This window comes from Homo sapiens, chromosome 11 (assembly GCF_000001405.40).
Source record: "Homo sapiens chromosome 11, GRCh38.p14 Primary Assembly".
NCBI lineage: Eukaryota > Metazoa > Chordata > Mammalia > Primates > Hominidae > Homo > Homo sapiens.
The window spans coordinates 72,831,335-72,852,866 of record NC_000011.10 but is presented as its reverse complement, the minus strand read 5'-3'; the positions used below and the strand labels follow the sequence as shown (position 1 = coordinate 72,852,866).

The 21,532-nt window shown below is 44.7% G+C and overlaps 2 protein-coding genes across 7 annotated transcripts in view, besides 1 other annotated feature; one reads left to right on the top strand and one right to left on the bottom strand.

The window, feature by feature from the left end:
• FCHSD2 (FCH and double SH3 domains 2) overlaps positions 1-16,122 on the top strand; it is a 305,574-nt gene extending 289,452 nt beyond the window's left edge. For 4 of the 5 annotated variants that reach the window (NM_014824.3, XM_011545409.2, XM_011545410.3 and 1 more), the window contains 7 exons: positions 2,978-3,112; positions 9,335-9,418; positions 9,539-9,716; positions 10,026-10,246; positions 11,284-11,413; positions 11,908-11,990; positions 13,993-16,122. In NM_014824.3, the coding sequence (NP_055639.2) occupies positions 2,978-3,112; positions 9,335-9,418; positions 9,539-9,716; positions 10,026-10,246; positions 11,284-11,413; positions 11,908-11,990; positions 13,993-14,076 (915 nt within the window). In that variant the 3' untranslated portion in view covers positions 14,077-16,122. Of the gene's footprint in view, positions 1-2,977; positions 3,113-9,334; positions 9,419-9,538; positions 9,717-10,025; positions 10,247-11,283; positions 11,414-11,907; positions 11,991-13,992 lie in introns of those variants that run through there. The other variant, XM_047427950.1, reaches the window with a different exon arrangement.
• Positions 3,468-3,969: an enhancer, noted in NCBI's record as "NANOG hESC enhancer chr11:72559943-72560444 (GRCh37/hg19 assembly coordinates)". NCBI's record gives its function as "activates a minimal SCP1, AML or CMV promoter by ChIP-STARR-seq in naive H9 embryonic stem cells {active_cell/tissue: H9 hESC(naive)}" and the evidence as "EXISTENCE:reporter gene assay evidence [ECO:0000049][PMID:30033119]".
• Positions 9,127-21,532, bottom strand: part of ATG16L2 (autophagy related 16 like 2) — a 29,330-nt gene continuing 16,924 nt past the window's right edge. For both annotated transcript variants that reach the window (XM_005274376.6, XM_047427840.1), the window contains one exon: positions 9,127-10,250. In XM_005274376.6, the coding sequence (XP_005274433.1) occupies positions 10,208-10,250 (43 nt within the window). In that variant the 3' untranslated portion in view covers positions 9,127-10,207. The remainder of the gene's footprint in view (positions 10,251-21,532) is intronic.

Here is a 21,532-nt window from a genome sequence, read left to right as displayed (position 1 = left end):
TAATGGGCTCCAGTTCCATCCATGTTCCTACAGAAGACATCATTCTTTTTTGTGGCTGCCTAGTATTTCATGGTATATATGTACCACATTTTCTTTATTCAACTTGTCATTGATTAGTATTTAGGTTGATTTCATGTCTTCGCTAGTATAAATAGTGCTGCAATGAATATACACGTGCATGTGTGCATGTGTCTTTTTTTTTTTTAAGACAATCTTGCTCTGTTGCCCAGGCTGCAATGCACTGGCACAATCTTGACTCACTGCAACCTTCACCTCCCAGGTTCAAGCAATTCTCGTGCCTCAGCCTCCTGAATAGCTGGGATTATAGGCATACCACCACGCCTGGCTAATTTTTGTATTTTTAGTAGAGACAAGGTTTCGCCATTTTGGCACCACCCACTTTAGCCTTCCAAAGTGCTGGGATTACAGGCATGAGCCACCACTCCTGCCCATGTGTCTTTATAGTAGAATGATTTATGTACCTTTGGGTATGTGTCCAGTAATGGGATTGCTGGGTTGAATGGTAGTCCTGTTTTTAGCTCTTTGAGGAATTGCCACACTGCTTTCCACAGTGGCTGAACTAATTTATACTCCCACCAGCAGTGTATAAGCGTCCCTTTTTTCCATAACGTCACCAGCATCTGTTATTTTTTGACTTTTTAAATAATAGCCATTCTCAGCCAGGCATGATGGCTCACTCCTATAATCTTAGCAATTTGGGAGGCCAAGGCGGGAGGATCACTTGAACCCAGGAGTTCAAGACCAGCCTAAGCAACGTGGTGAAACCCCTTATCTACCAAAAAAAAAACACCAAAAACAAAAATTAGCCAGGTGTGGTGGTGCACACCTATAGTCCCATCTATTTGGGAGGCTGAGGCAGGAAGATTGCTTGAGCCCAGGAGGTTGACACTGCAATGAACCGTGATTGTGTCACTGCATTCCAGCCTGGATAACAGAGCAAGACCCTATCTCAAAAAAAAAAAAAAAAAGCCACTCTGACTGATGTGAGATGGTATCTCATTGTGGTTTTGATTTGCATTTCTTTAGTGATATTGAGTGTTTTTTCACATACTTCACGAACTTTATTTTTTTTCTTGTTTTGTTTTCTATTTTTTGTTTTGTTTTGAGACAGAGTCTCGCTCTGTCACCAGGCCGGAGTGCAGTGGCACAATCTCGGCTCACTGCAACCTCTGCCTCCCAGGTTCAAGCAATTCTCCTGCCTCAGCCTCCCAAGTAGCTGGGACTACAGGCGCATGCCACCATGCCCGGCTAATTTTTTGTTTTTTTGTTAATAGAGATGGGGTTTCACCGTGTTAGCCAGGATGATCTCGATCTCCTGTCCTTGTGATCCGCCCACCTCGGCCTCCCAAAGTGCTGGGATTACAGGAATGAGCCACCTCACCCGGCCGGCAACCTTTATTTTTAATGAGTGTTATTAATCTATAATATGGATACATCAGAGTGCATTCAAACATTCCCCTGTTGATGGACATATAGATTGTGTCGAGGCGTTTGTCACTACAGGCAGTGTTGCAGTAAACATCTTAAAATACATAGTCTTACACCTTGGTGCTTTTATTTCCCCATGATGTATTCATAAAAGCGGAATTGCTAGATCAATGGTATGTTTAGTTTTTAATTTCAGTGAACAGGTTGTTTTTTCAAAAGGATGTATGAATTCACATTTCTACCAGCCATAGATGAAATCCTGTTCTCCACATCCTTGGTAGCACTTAGCAACCTTTTTTTTTTTTTTTTTTTTTTTGAGACAGAGTCACGCTGTGTCGCCCCAGCTGTAGTGCAGTGGTGCAATCTTTCTTGGCTCACTTAGTCTCCACCTCCTGGGTTCAAGAAATTCTCTTGCCTCAGCCTTCGCAGTAGCTGGGACTTCAGGCATGCACCACCATGCCTGGCTATATTTTTTTTCTATTTTTAATAGAGATGGGGTTAGGTTTCACCATGTTGGCCAGGCTGGTCTCAAACTCCTGACCTCAAGTGATCCACCTACCTTGGCCTCCCAAAGTGCTTGGATTACAGGCGTGAGCCACCACACACCTGGCCTGAAACCTTTTTAATGTTCACTAACAGGATCAGTTAAAATTTAGAGGCCCTTGTCAGTCAGTACTTAACAGTGAAAAGTGAAAGGATACTGATAAATATTTCTTACATATTTGACAGAAACTTCCTTCTTGATTTAAAAAAAATCTCTGTCCTGGCCAGGCACGGTGGCTCACACCTGTAATCCCAGCACTTTGGGAGGCTGAGGTGGGTGGATCACAAGGTCAGGAGATCGAGACCATCGTGGCTAACACAGTGAAACCCCATCTCTACTAAAAATACAAAAAATTAGCCGGGCGTGGTGGTGGGCACCTGTAGTCCCAGCTACTCGGGAGGCTGAGGAGGCAGAGCTTGCAGTGAGCCGAGATCACGCCACTACACTCAAGCCTGGCAACAGAGCGAGACTCCGTCTCAAAAATAAAATAAAAAAAAATCTCTGTCCTAGGCCTGGTGCAGTGGCTCACACCTGTAATACCAGCACTTTGGGAAGCCGAAGTGAGTGGATCACTTGAGGCCAGGAGTTCAAGACCAGCCTGGCCAACATGGTGAAACCCCATCTCTACTAAAAATACAAAACAATTAGCCAGGTGTGGTGGTGGGTGCCTGTAATCCCAGCTATTCGGGAGACTGAGGCACGAGAATTCTTGAACCTGGGAGGCCGAGGTTGCAGTGAGCCAAGATCACGCCATTGCAGTCCAGCCGGGGTGACAAGAGCGAAATTCCATCTCAAAAAAAAAAAAAAAAAAAAAAACTCTATTCTTTCATAACATGAAAAATGTAAGTGCGAAAGATAGTCATTTCTATGCAGAGTTAAAAGGCAAATTAACATTTTGAAACAATCAGGTTTTAAGTGTTTTTCCGGCTTTCAACCATTTTCTTGAAGTAAGGAAACTAGCCAATGGTTTCTAATTTTTCTTAGCTTAATGCAGATACCGAAAGAGAAGAAGGCGAAGAGTTTGAAGATAACATGGATGTTTTCGATGACAGCAGTTCCAGCCCTTCTGGCACCTTAAGAAATTATCCACTCACCTGCAAAGTTGTTTATTCCTACAAGGTTTGTATTTCTCCAACATAATGTTATTAAATTCTGATTAACTCTGAAGATACACATGACTGTATCCATCCAGTCTCTCAAGCTGTACTTAGCATAAAATTGTTATTAGGTTAATATTGGGGCAACATAACAGAATGGTGATGAGTTTAGGCTCTGACTTGACGTCTTTCACTTGCTACTCCGTCTGCCTAGAACTCTTTTTTTCCCCAAATCTCAGTTGGTTGTCCCCTGCTCCTCATTGAAGCTCAGCTCAAATAGTTCCTTCTTAAGGTCACCCATAACCACCTAAATAAATAACCAACTCCTCAGTCACTACTTGTTATCCCATTGCCTCTTTTATTATATAGCACTTCTGCTCAGCCAAACTTAATCTTATTTATTTTCATATTTCTTTGATGCTCCACTAAAGGTCCATGAAGGCAGAAATTTTGTCTGTGTATGTGTACCTTGTCTGTGTGTCTTCAGCCCCGAGGACGATGTCCAGCCATAGTGGGTCATCAGTAGATAATTGTGGGATGACTACATGAATGTTGGAAGGGAGGCGTGAATACATGAATCTTCTCTTGCCCCTGTTCTGGTGGAGGCATGTGTGAGAAGGGGCAATGCGGAAGGCTATCAGAAGGGAAGGTCCTGGAGAGAGAATCCACCTGTCATGCACCAGATTCACTCCTCCGCCACATCCCTGTGTAGCCAAAAGGTGGCAGTGTTTGGTAACCTCAATATCAGTGATTCCCAGACTTGTTTTGAGTTTAACATCCTTTCATTTTATATTTAAATTCATAATACTTCCTGTTCATTGAAAGTGTTAGCATTTTTTTCCAATGTAAATCGTTTTGATAATCTTTTGAAAATTTAAAATCATCTTCTCAGATACTTGGAAAGGTATTACAGGGTATTATAAAACTAGCATTGGAATTGTTTCCTGATACCACCTCCCATTATATTTACTTGAACGTCCCAGAACTAAAATTTAAGTTCCTTAAATAGAGAGATTCCTAAGTGTCTGAGTGATTTTAAACAGTTCACATTCATTCAACATTCCCTCTGTTGGCATATCCCAGGCACATCCCTGCGTTAAATAGACTATGAACATCTATTTAGTCAGTTAATCATTGAATAAACATATAGAGTGCCCAATATGTGATACACTGGGGGGATGCCAGAATGAATATGACATCTCTCCCCTCTAGGAATGGACAATCTATGAAGGGTTAAATATTAAACTGGAAAATAGAACAAGTGTGAAAAGATTTATAGTAAAGGTAGAGCCACTAATTCTACCTGGATCATTGGGAGAAATTTTACAGATGAGGTGGCATTTAAAGTAGGTCATGATTTAAGACCTTTCTAGATGCAGTGAGAAGGTAGGGAGAGGAAAGAGCCTTCTAAGCAAAGAGAACAGCAGGTATAGAGACAGAGTGTGATGAGAGTGTGGGGTGTTCAGGAAATGTTAAATTCAGTGGTGTAGGAGTGGGAGAACAGAGGGGCTGTGCATAAAGGTGTTTGTTGTCAGATAGTAAAGGGCCTTGGGTACCAGACTTAGAGGTTTGGTTTTTATCCTGGCTAGGAAGATCCTTAGATGGCCTGAAATCAGATTGGACTTTTAAGAAGCTAACCTGGTCATGGTATAGATATTCTAGAGGACAGATTAGGATACAGAGGGACTGACTTTAAGCCTAATCATAATTCTTATAGTCCAGACCAAAAAGGAGGCCTCGAATAATCTGGTGAGAACAAAGAAACTATATTTAATGGTTAGAGTTGGCCGGGAATGGTGGCTCACGCCTGTAATCCCAACATTTTGGGAAAATGAGGCAGGTGGATCACTGAGGTTAGGAGTTCAAGACTGGCCCAACCAACATGGTGAAACCCCATCTCTACTAAAAATACAAAAATTAGCTGGGCGTGGTGGCGGGCGCCTGTAATCTCAGCTACTAGGGAGGCTGAGGCAGGAGAATCACTTGAACTCAGGAGGAGGAGGTTGCAGTGAGCCAAGATCGCACCATTGCGCTCCAGCCTGGGTGACAGAGCGAGACTCTGTCTCAAAAAAAAAAAAAAAAAAAAGGTTAGAGTCAAAAGCCTTAAGAATGTTCATAACTTTTGACCCTATTAGCATCCATCCTAAGGAAGTAAATCATAATATAGAAAAGTTTTGGACACAAAAATGTCCTTTCATATAGTACTGCTTTATAATGTATGGCACTTCTGCCCAGCCAAACTTAATCTTAGTTTTCATATTTCTTTGACTCCCCGCTAAAGGTCCATGAAGGGAGAAGTTTTGTCTCTGTATGTTTACCTTGTCTGTGTGTCTTCAGCCCCTAGGACAATGCCCAGCACGTAGTAGGTCATTAGTAAATAATTGTGGAATGAATACTTGAATGATGGAAGGCATGAACAAATGAATCCTTCCCTTGACCTCATTCTGATAGAGACATCAGTGAGGATAATAGAGCTCATGACTGGATGCAATGGCTCATGCCTGTAATCCCAACACTTTGTGGGGCCAAAGCGAGAAGATCACTTGAAGCCGGGAGTTTGAGACCAGCCTGGGCAACAAAGAAAAACCTGGTCTCTACAGAAAAATTTTAAAATTAGCTGAGCATGGTGGCACATGCCTATCGTCCTAGCTATTCAGGAGGCTCAGGCAGGAGGATCACTGGAGCCCAGGAGATCGAGGCTGCAGTGAGCCATGATTACACCACTGCACTCCAGCCTGAGTGACAGAGTGAGACCCTGCCTCTAAAAAATAAATTTTAAAAAAATTTAAATTTGGCAGTTCAATGAGAATAATTAAACTAGACATTCATATACTATAGCCATAACATATAATATTATGAAACTTACTGAAATTTTCATCAAGAGTTTTTCTATATAAGAAGAAACCCTTATGTCCTAATATTAAATTAAAAGGTAGGATACCAAATTGTATGTACCGTAAGAGCTCAATTATGCATATTTTCCAGCTTTTCTACGATGAACATGTATGATATAATCAGGAAAAACATATTGTTTTAAAAGAAATACAGGAAATTTGGAGAGATACTGGTGGAAACGGAGCTCTGGTTGTCACTGGATACTAGGACTTAAGGAGACAGTATGAGAGTATGTGTGTATTTAATAACCATTTACTGCTCACTGTCTTTAGTTGGGGTAAGTGAGAAGAAATGTAGTCCCTAATTATTTCTAGTAGGAAGCTCACAAGGACAAACTCATTAGAGCATCATGGTAGTCAGTGTTATGGGGACGCTCAGAGAGCCTTTTAAGAACAAAATGGGGGCTGGGCACGGTAGCTCACGCCTGTAATCCCAGCACGTTGCGGGGCCAAGGCGGGCGAATCGCGAGGTCAGGAGTTCGAGACCAGCCTGACCAACATGGTGAAACCCCGTCTCTACTAAAAATACAAAAAATTAGCCAGGCATGGTGGTGTGCACCTGTAATCCCAGCTACTTGGGAGGCTGAGGCAGGAGAATTTCTTGAACCTGGGAGGCAGAGGTTGCAGTGAGCCGAGATGGCACCACTGCACTCCAGCCTGGGCAACACTGTGAGACTCCGTCTCAAAAAAAAAAAAAAAAAGAGCAAAAGGAGGAGCAGCTTACTCATCATGAGTAGTCTGGGAAAACATATGCGCTCAGTCTCAAGTCAAAAGTAATCGTAACTACTTATCTATCTATCTATCTATCTATCTATCTATCTATCTATCTATTTATTTGTAATCCCTTCAATAACCCTATGAGGAAGATATTATCAAACACCCCATTCATTCAACAAATAGTGCTTGAGCACCTTCCATGTATCAGTGCTGTGGGCTTTTCTAGGCTCTGGGATATAGCATTGATCAAAACAGACAAAAATCTTTGCCCTCATTGAGCTTATATTCTAGTACGAAAAAAGAAAACTGAGGTTCAAAGGTATCTTACAGTCACTTGCCCATAAAAATATACTGAAGCTGGACTTAAACCCACAGTAATCTAAGTCTGCTCATCAGATAGGAAAGAGGGAACAGAGCCTGATGGACGGAAGAACACCTATAAAAGCACAGAGGCAAGGAAGAACATGGTATGCTCAGAGAATAGAAATAGTGTGCAGGGGCCAAAGCGTCAAGAGGCCCACAGGGACCAAACTCTGCAGGGTCTTGATAGCCATGCAAAGAACTTGACCTTGTTAGGTGGAAGAATTGGTCATCACTGCTTTAGGATGGGATGATCAAGCTAGTGTCTGCTTACATTGGACAACTAGTGCTGCAGTGTTGAAAAACTTGCATGGACCTCCATGGTTTTTGTTTGTTTGTTGTTGTTTTTTTTTTTTTTTTTTTTTTTTGAGACAGGGTCTTGCTCTGTCACCCAGGCTGGAGTGCAGTGGTGTGATCTCGGCTCACTGCAACCTCTGCCTCCCTGCAACCTCTGCCTCCCTGATTCAAGTGATCCTCCCACCTCAGCCTCCCAAGTAGCTGGGATTACAGGCACGTGCCACCACACCCACCAATTTTTTGTATTTTTCATAGAGACAGGGTTTCGCCATGTTGCCCAGGCCGGTCTCAAACTGCTGGCCTCAAGTGATCCACCCACCTTGGCCTCCCAAAGTGCTGGGATTACAGACGTGAGCCACCTCACTCAGCCTCTCCATAGCTTTTTATAAGGGCAGCAGTTTATTTAAAAGTGTACTACCTCCCTGGTTTGCTGTCACATACATTAACGTCTGGTCGTGTTGATACTTTTTAGGTCTTGCCATGAAAAACATTTTTATTACAAAAATGCCTTTTGCTGGCATATTCAAGGCATAGTGTGGTTTCAGAGTAGTGAAGGAATTCCATTGGAAAAGCTATCAAGGGTAAATGAGTGGGGTTTTTTCCTCAATATTATTTTTCTGTCTCAGGGAGCTATGGCAACATCCAGAATCTGGATTTTGATGAAATGTTTTAATGTTCATAAAATGGGAAATTGATCTTGAAAATGACCCCTTTTTTGCCTTATTTTTGTTTGTGTAACTTGGAGTTAATTTTACATTTTGAGATTGTGAGATTTTAAAAACTTTATGGTTTTAGGTGATGGTTTTAACCCATCTTGGGACTTGGGGAAAGCTTTTAAGACTGTTTTCTAGAGAGCCAGAAGCCAGCAGGCCCCTGTCTATTACACATGACAGGCAAGACTGTTAGGAAGCAAAGCCACACGGACTTTCCAGCCCCTCTGTGGAGCCTCAGAGCGTTTACAGATTTGGCAGTCTCAAGGGCAACATGTGGGTGGCTGATGCTGGTGGATTGCTGCTGTCAGGGATAATAAAACCATTATGGTTAGCAGCTTGTACGGTAGCACGCAAATGGATCAGCTCAGTCTCCACACAGTTAAGTTGGAGCATAAGAAATCCAAACCATGACTGATCTCAATCATTTCCTTTCCTACAATTTTTTTCTTTTGGCCACTGCTTTACAGTGATTCCAGATCAATCCTAGGCACTGCACCCACTATCATCAAATTCACGTACATAGTTCTTTGCATTTTCACTGCATGCTTGTCCATGGGAGCCCTCTGGTAGCAGTTCCAATTCAGTGCCTTCTCGTTTGCCTTTGCTTCCCAAATCATCACAGTTCTGTGCTTATCCATCCCACATTGACTCACATCCTCCAGAAAATGGCAGGATTGTCATTTCAAAGAAATGGAGGCATCAAGTTGAATAACTTGATACAGAAGCTGGAGTTGGAACCCAGGTCCTCTACTTCCAGGAAGTGCTCTCTTTTTTTGTTTGTTTTTTTAGAGACAGGGTCTCGCTCTGTTGCCCAGGCTGGAGTGCAGTGGCTCACTCATGGCTCACTGCAGCCTCAACCTCCCAGGCTCAAGCGATCCTCCCACCTCAGCCTCCCAAGTAGTTGGGACTACAGGCATGTTCCACCATGCCTGACTAATTTTATTTATTTATTTACTTATTTATTTATTTATTGGTAGAGATGGGGGTCTCGCTGTGTTGCCCAGGCTTACATGTTCTGTTCATTGAACGTCATTGCCTCTTGAGGATTCAGTTTCTTGAGTTTTTGTTATGGTTTTATTCTGTTTAGTTTTTTAAAGTAAAACTTCACCTCATTATGAAAGTTTTACAGCATTTAAATTTTTATGTTCAACATGTTTCTCAAAATCATTTCAATATTTTGATCCCCAGTTTTTGTCATGATCAGCTCACATCTGCTCCTTATCTAACCTTTTTAATTTTGTCCATGACCATCCTACACTGCAGGCTTCTCAACCAGATGAGTTGACCATTGAGGAACATGAGGTGTTAGAAGTGATTGAAGATGGAGATATGGAAGACTGGGTAAAGGTATATTCCTTTGCTCATATCGCCCTTTCTTGTGACATTTTTAGGAGTTTGTTTTGGTCTTTGTTGTGCCCTGTCTAAATTGTGTGTGTAAACTTGTTTTGTCACATGTCTTTTACCCAGGCTCGAAATAAAGTTGGCCAAGTGGGTTATGTGCCAGAAAAGTACCTACAGTTTCCCACCTCGAACAGCCTCCTGAGCATGCTGCAGTCCCTGGCCGCTTTGGACAGTCGGTCACACACGTCCAGCAATTCCACGGAAGCAGAACTCGTTTCAGGCAGCCTCAACGGAGATGCCAGTGGTAAAGACTGAAACAAGGCACTCTTTATTTGGTCACGTTTGACCTAAACTGTATTGCCCTGGAGTAAGCCTTCAGTAGGATAAAAAGCACAACTTTCCTCCTGTCCTATAATATGCTTTTCTTTATATGGTCACGTTTGTCCTGCACAGTAGAACCCTAAAGTTAATCATTCATCAGTGAGTAAAAAAATTACAACTTTAATCCTATTCTGTATGATGCTCTTTTAGTTGTCATGTGAGCATAGGGGTGGTTGCAAAAGCAACCGGCTGTTAATTATCTTACCAGATTTGTTTTTCTCTTGCTCCCTAGTATGTTTTGTGAAAGCACTTTATGATTATGAGGGCCAGACAGATGATGAGTTATCTTTTCCTGAGGGAGCAATAATCCGTATCTTGAACAAAGAAAACCAAGATGATGATGGCTTCTGGGAAGGGGAATTCAATGGGCGTATTGGAGTTTTCCCATCGGTGCTAGTGGAAGAACTTTCAGCCTCAGAAAATGGTGACACTCCATGGATGAGAGAGATTCAGGTACCTGAGAGGGGAGACAGTTGAATTAAAAGATGTTTAAAGAAAATTGCTCCCAAAGGGTCTGTGGATCCACACAAAAGTGGGCTGCAGTCTCTGCCTTACCCTCACCGGTCCTTGGTTGCCAGTGTCTGCACAACTGCATTTGGGAAACCAGAGACTTGTCAGTCAGTCCCTTGTGGAATGTGGCCATCCTCCCACACCTCCATCTTCCCACATTCTCTCTCTTCCTTGAATTGGTTAACCAAAATGCCAAATTATATGTGACATACCAAAGATCGTTTTGGTGGAGAGAAAGAAACAAACCGAAGAGGGAAGGCGTTGCTCTGTGGTTAATTTACGTAGTAAAACTCTTAGCTGGCTCTCTCTCTCCCTCACTGTCAGAGCCTCCTTGCCTAGTCCAGGTCCTGCCAGTCTATTTCAGAGAATTAATGAGCCTGCCAGAGCCCCTAATCCCCACTCAAGTGACCCTAGACTTAGTTCATCACAGGGAAACAGCCTTTAAAGGAACCTCTAATTCAGTCAGAGTTTAGTTTGTCCCCTCAGGGATCTATCACTGCAGGCCAGACAGGTAGAGGAAGAAGGAACGTGTTTGCCGATCTTGTTTGCGTGGTGATTGTGACCCCTTAGCCTAACATGCACAAAACCTGGGGAAGTCAGAAATTCAGCAAAGTATTTTATCTTCACCCCAAAAAATCCAACTTGTTCCTTTTGTTGTTGTTGTTCTTTGCTAAGTTTACTGAATTGACTAATTTGGTACATTTTCAATAGAACCCTAGAGAGTAGCTTCACTTGATAACTGTTTAAGATAAACTAAAATCAGTAATGTGATGAGATCTGTAAGAGGAAAAAGTGAAGTGCAATGCAAAATTGGAGCTTGAGGTGGTTATTTAATGCTCAGTTGCCTCTAATGAGGTTGACAAGTTTCAACAATCAGCTTAGCTTTAGAGAAAAGGCATGAGTACAGAGCAGTCAGAGAAGCAGCCAGGCTCTCCTTCCTGGAGGGGAGCACCGGGTAACCTCGCTTCCCTTTGCTGCAGATCTCTCCTTCCCCCAAGCCACACGCCTCCCTGCCTCCACTGCCGTTGTACGACCAGCCTCCCAGCAGCCCCTACCCCAGCCCAGATAAGAGGAGCTCCCTGTACTTTCCCCGGTCTCCTTCAGCAAACGGTAAGGGTTCTCCTGGGCATGGGTCTAAATGCATTTTCACTTCAGAAACCTACATATTCGCCTGAAGGGCAAAAAAAAACTGCATTTGCTTTTTTTTTTTTTTTTTTTTTTTTGGAGACAGAGTCTCTGTCACCTGGGCTGGACACCCAGGCTGGAGTTCAGTGGCATGATCACGGCTCATAGCAACCAATTCCTGGGCTCAAGTGATCCTCCTGCCTCAGCCTCCCTAGTAGCTAGGAATACAGGCATGCACCACCACACACAGCTAATTTTTGTATTTTTTCTGGACAAAGGGTATTATTCTGTCACCCAGGCTGGAGTGCAGTGGTGGGATCATAGCTCACTGCAGCCTTGAACTTCTGGCCTCAAGTAATCCTCCCGCCTCAGTATCCCAAAGTGCTGGGATTACAGGCTCAAGCCACCATGCCAGCCTTGCATCAGCATTATTGCTCAACAACTCAAGTAAAATGAGCTTCTTTGGTTTTCTCCCTTAGAAAAAAGCCTTCATGCTGAGTCACCAGGATTCTCACAGGCATCAAGGCATACTCCTGAGACCTCATATGGCAAACTGCGACCTGTAAGTCTCTGATCTTGCAGGATTATCGAATGCATAGTTCTTCCAAATTGAAAGTAAGGAATTAATGTTTCCCCGTGGCCCCTGTGTTGTTACTGACTATGCCAAACAAGGATGAACTGGGTTTGGGAAGGTAAAAAGAGCTATTGAAAAGGAAGGCCATAGAAATCAACTCATCTCGGGACATTTAATCTACACTGGAACTTTTTTCACTGAGCCACAGTGAGATTGCAAGATGATGGCTATGAAAGTGATTTAGAATAGAACAAACTTTATGAGCATTAAAGCGGGCTAATTGTGAAACACTTTTTTCAGTAAGCATTTAATTTTCCAGGCCTCTATTTGCCTCTTTGAGGAATACCAAGATGAAATAATAAGCTAACTTCATGGCCTTAAAGAGCGTTTATTCTCCGGGTGAATATATTATTGCAAAGTTACCTCTCCTCACCCTTCACTCTACTGCCATCTGCATTCCACCCACCACTGTACTCCAAGGTCATAACTTGCACGGTAATCCAGTCGGATACTTTGCAATTTTATTTTCCTTGACCCCTATTAGCTTTTGATACCATTCCTTTACCACTGGCTTCTTTTGGCTTCATTCATTCAGCAAATATGTATTGAGTGCCTTCTTAAGGACTTGAGTCTTTATCCCAAATGAGACAGGAAGCCATTGTAAAGTGGTAAGCTGGACAGTGTTGTGGCTGGTGCATTTTTAAAGCATCGCTATGGCAGCTAAGAGGCGGATGGATGGAGGGTGGCAGAAAGGATATAGGGAGCGATTAGGAGGCTGGAGCAGCATCCAAGAAAGAAGTGGTGGCAAGATGGACTGGTGGGTAAGAGTGGGAAGAGAGAGCAGTGGGCTGATGTGCTTCTCTACATTTGCCTCGTTTGCTTTCTTCCTCTCTGGTCCTACCTTTCTGTGGACCTTTGCAGCCTTGCCGCCACCTGTCTCTGCTGATAATTCTCATGGTTCTGTCACTGGGCTGCTTCTCTTGAAGTTGTTGAACGCACTCTTGCCGAATGACCTCATCTACTTCCACAGCTATGATAACCATTTATATGCCAGCAAGTCTCAGATTTATAACTGCCAATCCGATCTCTTCTCTTGAGCTTCAGATGTGTGGATATCTCAGTTTATATATCCCAGATCCCCAAAACTCAGCAAAAATGAGTTATGTTCCCTTCCAGACATGTTCCTTCTCCCATATTGCCTATCTTGGTAAATGGAACCCCCATCCTACTGGTGTTCTGGCATCATTCTTAATACCTCCTGCCCCTGCCTCCCACAGTCATTCCCAAATCCTGCCAGGTATACCTTGCAGAGAGCTCGCAAATCTTTCCACTTCTCTACTTCCCCTACTGCCAGTACCCTCGTTTGGGCTATTGTCAACTCTCATTCAGAGGATTACAAAAGTCTCCTAAGTTGCCTTCTTACTTGGACTCTTGCTTGCCTCTGATCCTTTCTCCAGTTGTTACCTGAGTCATCTTTTCGCAGATCTGATATTGCTTAAAATCCACCAAAAACTCCTCTTTTGCCTACAGAATAAAGCACAGATTTATTTTTTTCTTCTTAAAGCAGATGTTTAAACATGGTTTAACAAGGCCCTTCACAACTTAACCCTAGCCTACCTTTCTAGCCTTCTCTTTTGTAACTCTCTACCCAAGACACACTGAAATGTTTCATTTCTCTAAGCATTGCTCTCCCTTGCTTCCAGCCAGACCTTTGCTTTGGAGGATGTGCTAGGATCTTAGTCATAGGACTTGTGCCCATGAGGTTTTTAGCCTAGGCAAGAAGCTGATTTGTGGGCTTGATATTTCATTGAGAACAACTGCTTCTCAGTGTAGGAAATAGTGAAGACTAGGTTGAAAGCACGTGCTCACAACATTTCTGAGACCCCTAGGGTGCCCATGTCCTTGGACAGATGAGTGATTAGGTTTTGGGGATGCTTCAGATACTGAGTCAGGAACTGACTGACAAACTACGTAATTGTTTCCTGCTCAGGTCCGGGCAGCTCCCCCTCCACCTACACAGAATCACCGAAGGCCAGCAGAGAAGATTGAAGATGTGGAAATCACACTGGTGTGATGATGGGCTTGCCCATCCATTACTGCTACAATCAAGGCCAGGCTTGGAGTTTGGCCAGTCTTGTTTTTTAGGCACCTTTGCATGATGATGACTCTTGAACAGAGCAAAAAACAAGGAGGATTATGTGTGACTGGGTGGCCTGGTAGACTCCTCCCACGTTTTGAATATTTCGTGCCTTTTTTTTTTGTTGTCATTTTCTATGTCATTTCTCCTACCATAGCACAAATCCTAGCGGACCCTAGGAGCAAAGAGGGGGGCAGCCCTCATGCCTAACAGTGGTCTGTTTTTATATGAGACTCAAGAACAGGCCTCATTCCAGGGCACAGTCCCTAAATTACTGATCATGTGCACTCGTACAGTATATTACTGTGACCACAAGGATGTGGCAAAGATTCTCATCTTTCTTCAAGTGGCTTTTGCTCATCTGATTGAGAATTAATCAGATCATGTTGGCTACATAAGGAAACAGAAGGAGGGATTTCAGGAGAGGCTGGCTCCTCCCCAAGGTTAGTCCCCAGACTGAGAAAGTGAAACCTTATTGGGAAAAATTGGACTGCCCTGAATTTAGCACCAATTGCATTAACGCACATCTCTTCCACAACTAACAGACTTAAAATAACAGTGTCCTTCGTATTAATATCTGTGCCATTCATTTAGAATTAGCAGAGCTAATATGGAGGGGCTGAACTAGTAGCCACATCTTGTTCATCACATAGACTAATAGAAAGGAGGCTGTGGCTAAAGCAGAAATGGAACTTCCGGATCTGAAATTAGCCAATATAATGTTCTTTTGTATTTGGGTATTTTTCATCTTAATTTTTACAGCATATACTCTTCTTACCAGTATCCTTAGAATCCAAATGTCTAGATAAGTTGAGGACACATACCTGCATTGTTGAGCTTCTCTACTGGGGACGCCCCGGCATTATTTTATTCCCAAGCCAGCAGACCGGCCCAGACAGCCAGGCTGTGGCTGGTCCAGACCAACTGCTATGGTGGAAAATGCAGCTTCCAGGTCCCACTACCCTGACATTTCCGTGGAAGGAAGAACCTGGTGGCTCGTGGAGGAAACCAGCTTTCTATGAGAAAGGACTGAAGGATTGCGCACCCTGCACAAGTACAGATTGACCAGGAAAAGACAAGTGTCTTCTGTGTGTCACAGGGAAAGCCAGGAGTGGCCTTCTCTGCAGGCCAGCAAGCCTGCAGCAGCAGGTGCCCCCACGTCAGGTGCTGACTGTCTGCTGTCCGCTCCTGTAGAAGGTAGGGAGCACAATACCTAGGGACTAAGGGATGTTCGCCGGTTGTGGTTTGTTTTTTTTTTTTTTCCTTGGTTAAGAAATCAAATTTGCAGAATTTAATCTACAAGTTGTATTATGCTTTGAAAACTCCATCCCTCCTAAGAATCTTAAAAAACTTGAAATGCTCGCCAAATGTCCCCATGGGATTTTTGACCAAAAGTAAGGTGATAACTGAAGAAATTTTTAGTTCTTTGATCACTTCAGTGACAATACCCATTAATGAATCTTCTCCATGATTTGGGGTTTTTTTTCGTTGTTGTTTTTTACACTTCTTAACCTGTTGATCTATTTGAGGTCTTTTGTGTTTATCAAACTTATTCTTAAGTTTAAAAAAGAAATTAAAAGGGTGGTTTTTTTAAGATTTTAAAGTTTGCTAACATATTAAAAATCTTCAAATGCTTATTAAATAGAGCAGTTCTTGCCACCCAGTCTTGTATTCTGTCTTTAGCTAGCCAAATTGTCCTTGAATTTGGGTTTTCCACAACCTCAAAGGGTTATTTGAAATCTTTTGTTGTATTTTAAAATATTTTTTGGAAGAGCTGCTAATTTTATTTTAAAAAACAAAGTTGTGAAAACATGCCTCCTTTTTAAAAAATAACCCCTCCATCCAGGATATGGAATCCAGCACCACAGTGCACAGGTCAGGGCTCGGAGGGAGCCTCTGTGCAGATGTGCTTTCTTTACAGTGGCTGTAAAAAGTTTGTATTTATTATGTATAAAATGTTGAATAATAAAAAAAATGGAATTATGTTTTCTAAGTTTTAATATAGAAAGGTTTGGGTAAACAGACCTTTCCAAAAGGCCCATGCTTCTTATAAAAACATTCCTGGGCCCTCCTTTAAACCAGCTAACAGACAGAGAGAGGAGAAAGTAAATTAATCCATCTATGAGACAGACAGTCCCTGAAGCCCCCATGTGCTAGGTGTAATATCCTGGGTACTAGAGATGGCAGTAAATAGGTTACGGTCTTTGCTTTTCCCATGGGAAAAAAAAGAAATACGTGAGGACAGTACTGTGGGACATGTGCTAGAAGGGAGGGGCAGATAGCATAGAGGCAGCTGAGGAGGGAGCTCTGATTCTGCTGCTGGAGGGGTGAGAGGAAGGTCACTGAAGTCCCCTTGCCGGATGTGACCACTGGCTTCCAGGAAGCGGGCATTCTGGATGCCTCTCCCCTTTCCTAAACCTCCACCCTAAGGAGTAATGAATTGTGTGAAAGGAGATTTTCTCGGTCCCAGGGGTGGATGGAGCATTCTTAGTCAAAGGCTGAGTCCCCCTGGCTTCCAGCCAGCCACACTGAGGACCAGGACACAGCCTGTTTGGGGAAGGGCCCCACAAGCTCTCCTCTTTCCTGGAGCTGGGGACATGCAGTAAGCATTTTTCCAGACATTATCCTGTGCATAAGACTCTTAAGTGTACACACTGCTTGTTTACATAAAAATGTGTTCAGCCGGGCGCAGTGGCTCATGCCTGTAATCCCAGCACTTTGGGAGGCCGAGGCGGGCAGATCACTTGAGGTCAGGAGTTTGAGACCAGCCTGACCAACATGGAGAAACCCAGTCTCTACCGAAAATACAAAATTGGCTGGGCATGGTAGCTCATGCCTGTAATCCCAGTTACTCTGGAGGCTGAGGCAGGAGAATCGCTTGAACCTGCGAGGCAGAGGTTGCGGTGAGCTGAGATTGTGCCATTACACTCCAGTCTGGGGAACAAGAGTGAAACTCTGTCTCAAAAAAAAAAAAAAAAAATATGTTCCAGTATAAATGTTGGGTAGATTCCTAAGTGTGGAATTTGAGGGTCAAAAAGGTATGTATTTAATTTTGTTAGATTTTGCCAAATTGGCTTCCTATAAGGACTATATCCATTTACACTCCCACCAACCGCATATGGACTTAGGAGCCAGGAGGTCTGGGTTAAATCCTGGCTCTGCCACTTGACAGCCATGGGGACTGAGCCTGTGTCCTCATCTGGAACCTGAGAATAAGACTGTGGTTCCAGGAAGGCCATATAAAGTGTGCCACAGGCTGGTCACCACGAACTCTTCTCACCACCACCTCTCCTCACCACCACCTCTCCTCACCACCACCTCTCCTGCCTTTTCTCACCACCACCTCTCCTGCCTCTTCTCAGTGTCCTTCCCTCCAGAACTAGGGTCCTTGATAGTCTTCCAGGCCCATAGTAACGCACAGAGTTGTCATAAGGCCCAAGGGAAAGAATGTGTGTGAAGTGCTCTACCAAAAATGTGGGAAGGGCTGTCAGGACACGAAATGTCATTTCCGTCTTCTGACTTCCCTGCCAGTGAAAGCTGCTTTCGGTACTGGAGGTTCCGTCTGTGACCAAGGGCAAAGCTCAGCTAACTGCCTCACCCCAGCGTCATAGCTAAATTTTGGTCTCCTTCATCACAGGAACTGACTTGATGCATGATGCAATCAACCCACAGGTTCTCAGTACACCACCTAGATCCCCTTCCTCTCTGACCCACCACCCCAGCCACATTCACAAGCCAGAGACCCAGTGGGAGGGCATCATCTGGCCTTAGCCCTGCCACTGCTTGATGGAAGACCTTTCCCTCTTAGCTGCCACATCCTCAATTGTAAAGGAATGGAATGATGGCTGGGCACGGTGGCTTACGCCTGTAATCCCAGCACTTTGGGAGGCCAAGGCTGGTGGATCACCTGAGATCAGGAGTTTGAGACCAGCCTGACCAACATAATGGAAACCCCGTCTCTTACTAAAAATACAAAAATTAGCCAGGTGTGGTGGTGGGTACCTGTAATCCCAGCTACTCGGGAGACTGAGGCAGGAGAATTGCTTGAACCCAGGAGGCAGAGGTTGCGGTGAGCCAAGATCATGCCACTGCACTCCAGACTGGGTGACAGAGCAAGACTCTGTCTCCAAAAAAAAAAAAAAGGAATGGAATGAGGTTATCTCCCAGGGCTTATCTAACTCTCATGCCCTGGATGAGTTGTTTCTAGATACAGAGAACATCACACAAAAAAGGTCACAATATTTGAAACCAGACTTACTAAGACACAGACTTCTTTGGATGGCAAGAAATTGAAAAGAAAGCAAGCCACTGGACTCTCCCGCTGGGACCTGGGACAAAACAAACCTTTATCCTCTAGATTGCAACTGCATCCCAGGCTGCTCTATCCACTCACTGCCTGAAGAACCCAGCTGCAGCTTTTGGTTTTGTGGCCAATGACTGCCCAGCCCTCTCCCAGTGGCCTTAGGATGAAATCCAGCTGCTCTGAATCTTCGCATTTATTTTGTTCATCGTGAAGTTGTTTTTCATGACAGAAATATAACTAAATTACAGAAATTTTAGGTTAGAAGGGGGAGGATTGTAATTTATCCCCAAATCCTGCAACTTTTAAGTTTCCTCCTAGACTCTTCCTGTGTTTGCCTTGTTACTGCTTGATCTGCCAAGAACCAAATGAATGCCAAAGAGCATCTTGTTCCTAGACTATTTTCCCTCGGTCCCAGAGGCCAAAAAACACACTTTTGCTGTGTCTGTTTCTGAGAGCTCTGGTCTGGGAATATTTTCCTGAAAAAAAAAAAAATTTTTTTTTTTGAGACGGAGTTTCGCTCGTCACCCAGGCTGGAGTGTGATGGCACTATGTCAGCTCACTGCAACCTCTGCCTCCTGGGTTCAAGCGATTCTCCTGCCTCAGCCTCTCAAGTAGCTGGGATTACAGGCATGTGCCACCACACCCGGCTAATTTTTTTGTATTTTTAGTAGAAACGGGGTTTCACCATGTTGGCCAGGCTGGTCTCAAACTCCTGACCTCAGGTGATCCACCTGCCCCAGCCTCCAAAAGTGCTGGGATTACAGGCATGAGCCACCTCGCCCGGCCTTTCCTAGAATGTTTTATGCTGAAACATTGACAGAAATGAACCCAGGGACAGGGCTCACAGCCCTTCTACACTGCGCATAGAACTCACTCTTCACCACTTGCTCCTGTGAGGAACAGAAAAGAGCACAGCCAAAGGAAATGTATTCCAGTCCCCAGGCCACCTCAGATTAGCTGTGACTTGAGGCTCATCCCTTCACCTTCTGGACCCTGCTTTCCTCATCTGTAAAGTAGGAACAAGCAGATAGTGCAACTTCTAAGATCCAGGAGGATGAAATAGGGTAATGTACAGATAAGCTGAAAATGTTTGTGATGAGTGAATGTGTCTCCAGTGGAAGAGCCTGTATCCAGGCATGGATATGTCTGAATCTCACAGATGGGTCCACGTCTGATGGTGTCAGATCTCTCCAGAAACCACCTCTATTCAATTCAGCAAATGTGCTGCCCCAGGTAGTGTTCAGGTCTCTGGAGCCTTGTCACTGAGGGGCTTGCATCTGGTGGGAGACACTCAGCGCAACAGCAGACTGAAGCCAGGGACTGAGAGATGACCAAGGGGCAGTAGGAGCACAGGATAGGGGCATCTGTCATTTCTCCCTCCCTGGGGTCTCAGGCTCACTAAGGCCTGAGATTGGGCAGGGCAGGCAGAGGCCATGGTCCTCATGCCTACAGAACAGCTCTGCAGAAGAGCCATGTCACTTTTGGGGAGGCTTGGGGCAGGAAGTTTCACAGGTGGGGATATGAGCGCCTGGAAGTCACTGTGACCTGCCCAAGATCTCCCAGGAAGACAGAACTGGAGAACCTAGAACTAGGCCTCCAGAAGCCCTGGCCAGCCCCTTTGCAGAATCTGAATCCAGTTTTTAGAAAAGCAGGAATCAGAGGTCTGGGTTCTTATCCCAGCTCTGCTCTGTGACCCGAAGGAGCTGCCCCATCTCTGGGTCTCAGTTTTTATACCCATGAGTGCGGGCCACTCCAGATTTGACCTAGGCACCCGAATTCAGGCAGGCAGCCCCTGAGCACCAGAGTTCTGAAAACCTGGGCAGTGACTGCTGAGAGCCTGGAGGAGCTGTCAACATCTATTTTCACCTCTCTGCTGAACGGGACTGAAGAGGCTGGAGGGAGGAACAGCCTTCCCGCTGACATGCCCCTCTGAACTCCTCTGCTCAGTCTGTGAGCTCCTCTTCCTCCTGCCTACCTCATTCCCGGGAACTCCTTGGCCTGTTTCTGGCCTTACAGACTTGTTCCTCCAGGAAGCACCCCCTCCTACTGGGAGGGGGACCTCCAAGCAAGTTAAGGTGAACATGTGCTCCCTGAGAGAGGCAACTCCACCCGATGGCAGCAGCGTGTGTGGTAAGATTGACGCCCATAAAGTAGAAGGGAAGGTTTTGGGGGAGAGAAGGGCTCACTGTCCCAGAGATCAGTCAGACCATTTCCTGAGCACCTCCTCTGGGCTCTCTAAGCAGTCTCCACTACAACCCTGTGAAATGAGGGAGAAACGCAATGGCGCAGCTGGCCTCCCAAGATTCAAGTTCCCTCACTCCTGTGTCCCTGCATGTCCCTCACTTCAAGGGATACTAACCGTCCAGGCTCAGGACCCAGAATAGAAAAGGGTGAAGATGTAGGGAGGGAGTCAGGTTAGACACAAGGCTAGCATCACACCTCTACCCCCGTGGTAGCAGGCAGGGGGCACACACACCCTGGGGGAGGGGGCATGCCCCGCAGCCCTGCCTAACTGCGAGTCTGAACACGTTGCTTTAAAAAGAGTATGTGTAATGCAGCCACAGTCCAGCTGCAGGGCTTCTCTGAGCTCAGTTTTCTCACCTGGGAAACATGGTAGCTACATGGCAATGTAGTTGGGAGGAACAAATAATGCTGCAGAAAGGGTGCAGGGCAGGGCCTGGCACCTCCTAAGGGCTCAGTCACGGTGGCTACAGGAGTGTCGGTCTCCCCAGCCATGTGTCCCTGGAAACGGGAATGGCCTCAGTAGACTAGGCAGCTGGTGACCCCTGGTGGCTGCTGGGAGCCAGGGCATGAGGGCTGGGGCAGAGTAGAAGGCTGAGTATCGAAGAATGTTGGAGCCCAAGGCTCTTAGACCGTTAGACTGGCTGAGTCCTTGAATAAGAGAATTTTGTTGTTGTTGAGATGGAGTTTCACTCTCGTTGCCCAGGCTAGAGTGCAATGGCGCATTCTCAGCTCACTGCAACCTCCTCCTCCTGGGTTCCGTGATTCTCCTGCCTCAGCCTCCCAAGTAGCTGGGATTACAGGCATGTGCCACCATGCCCAACTAATTTTGTATTTTTAGTAGAGACA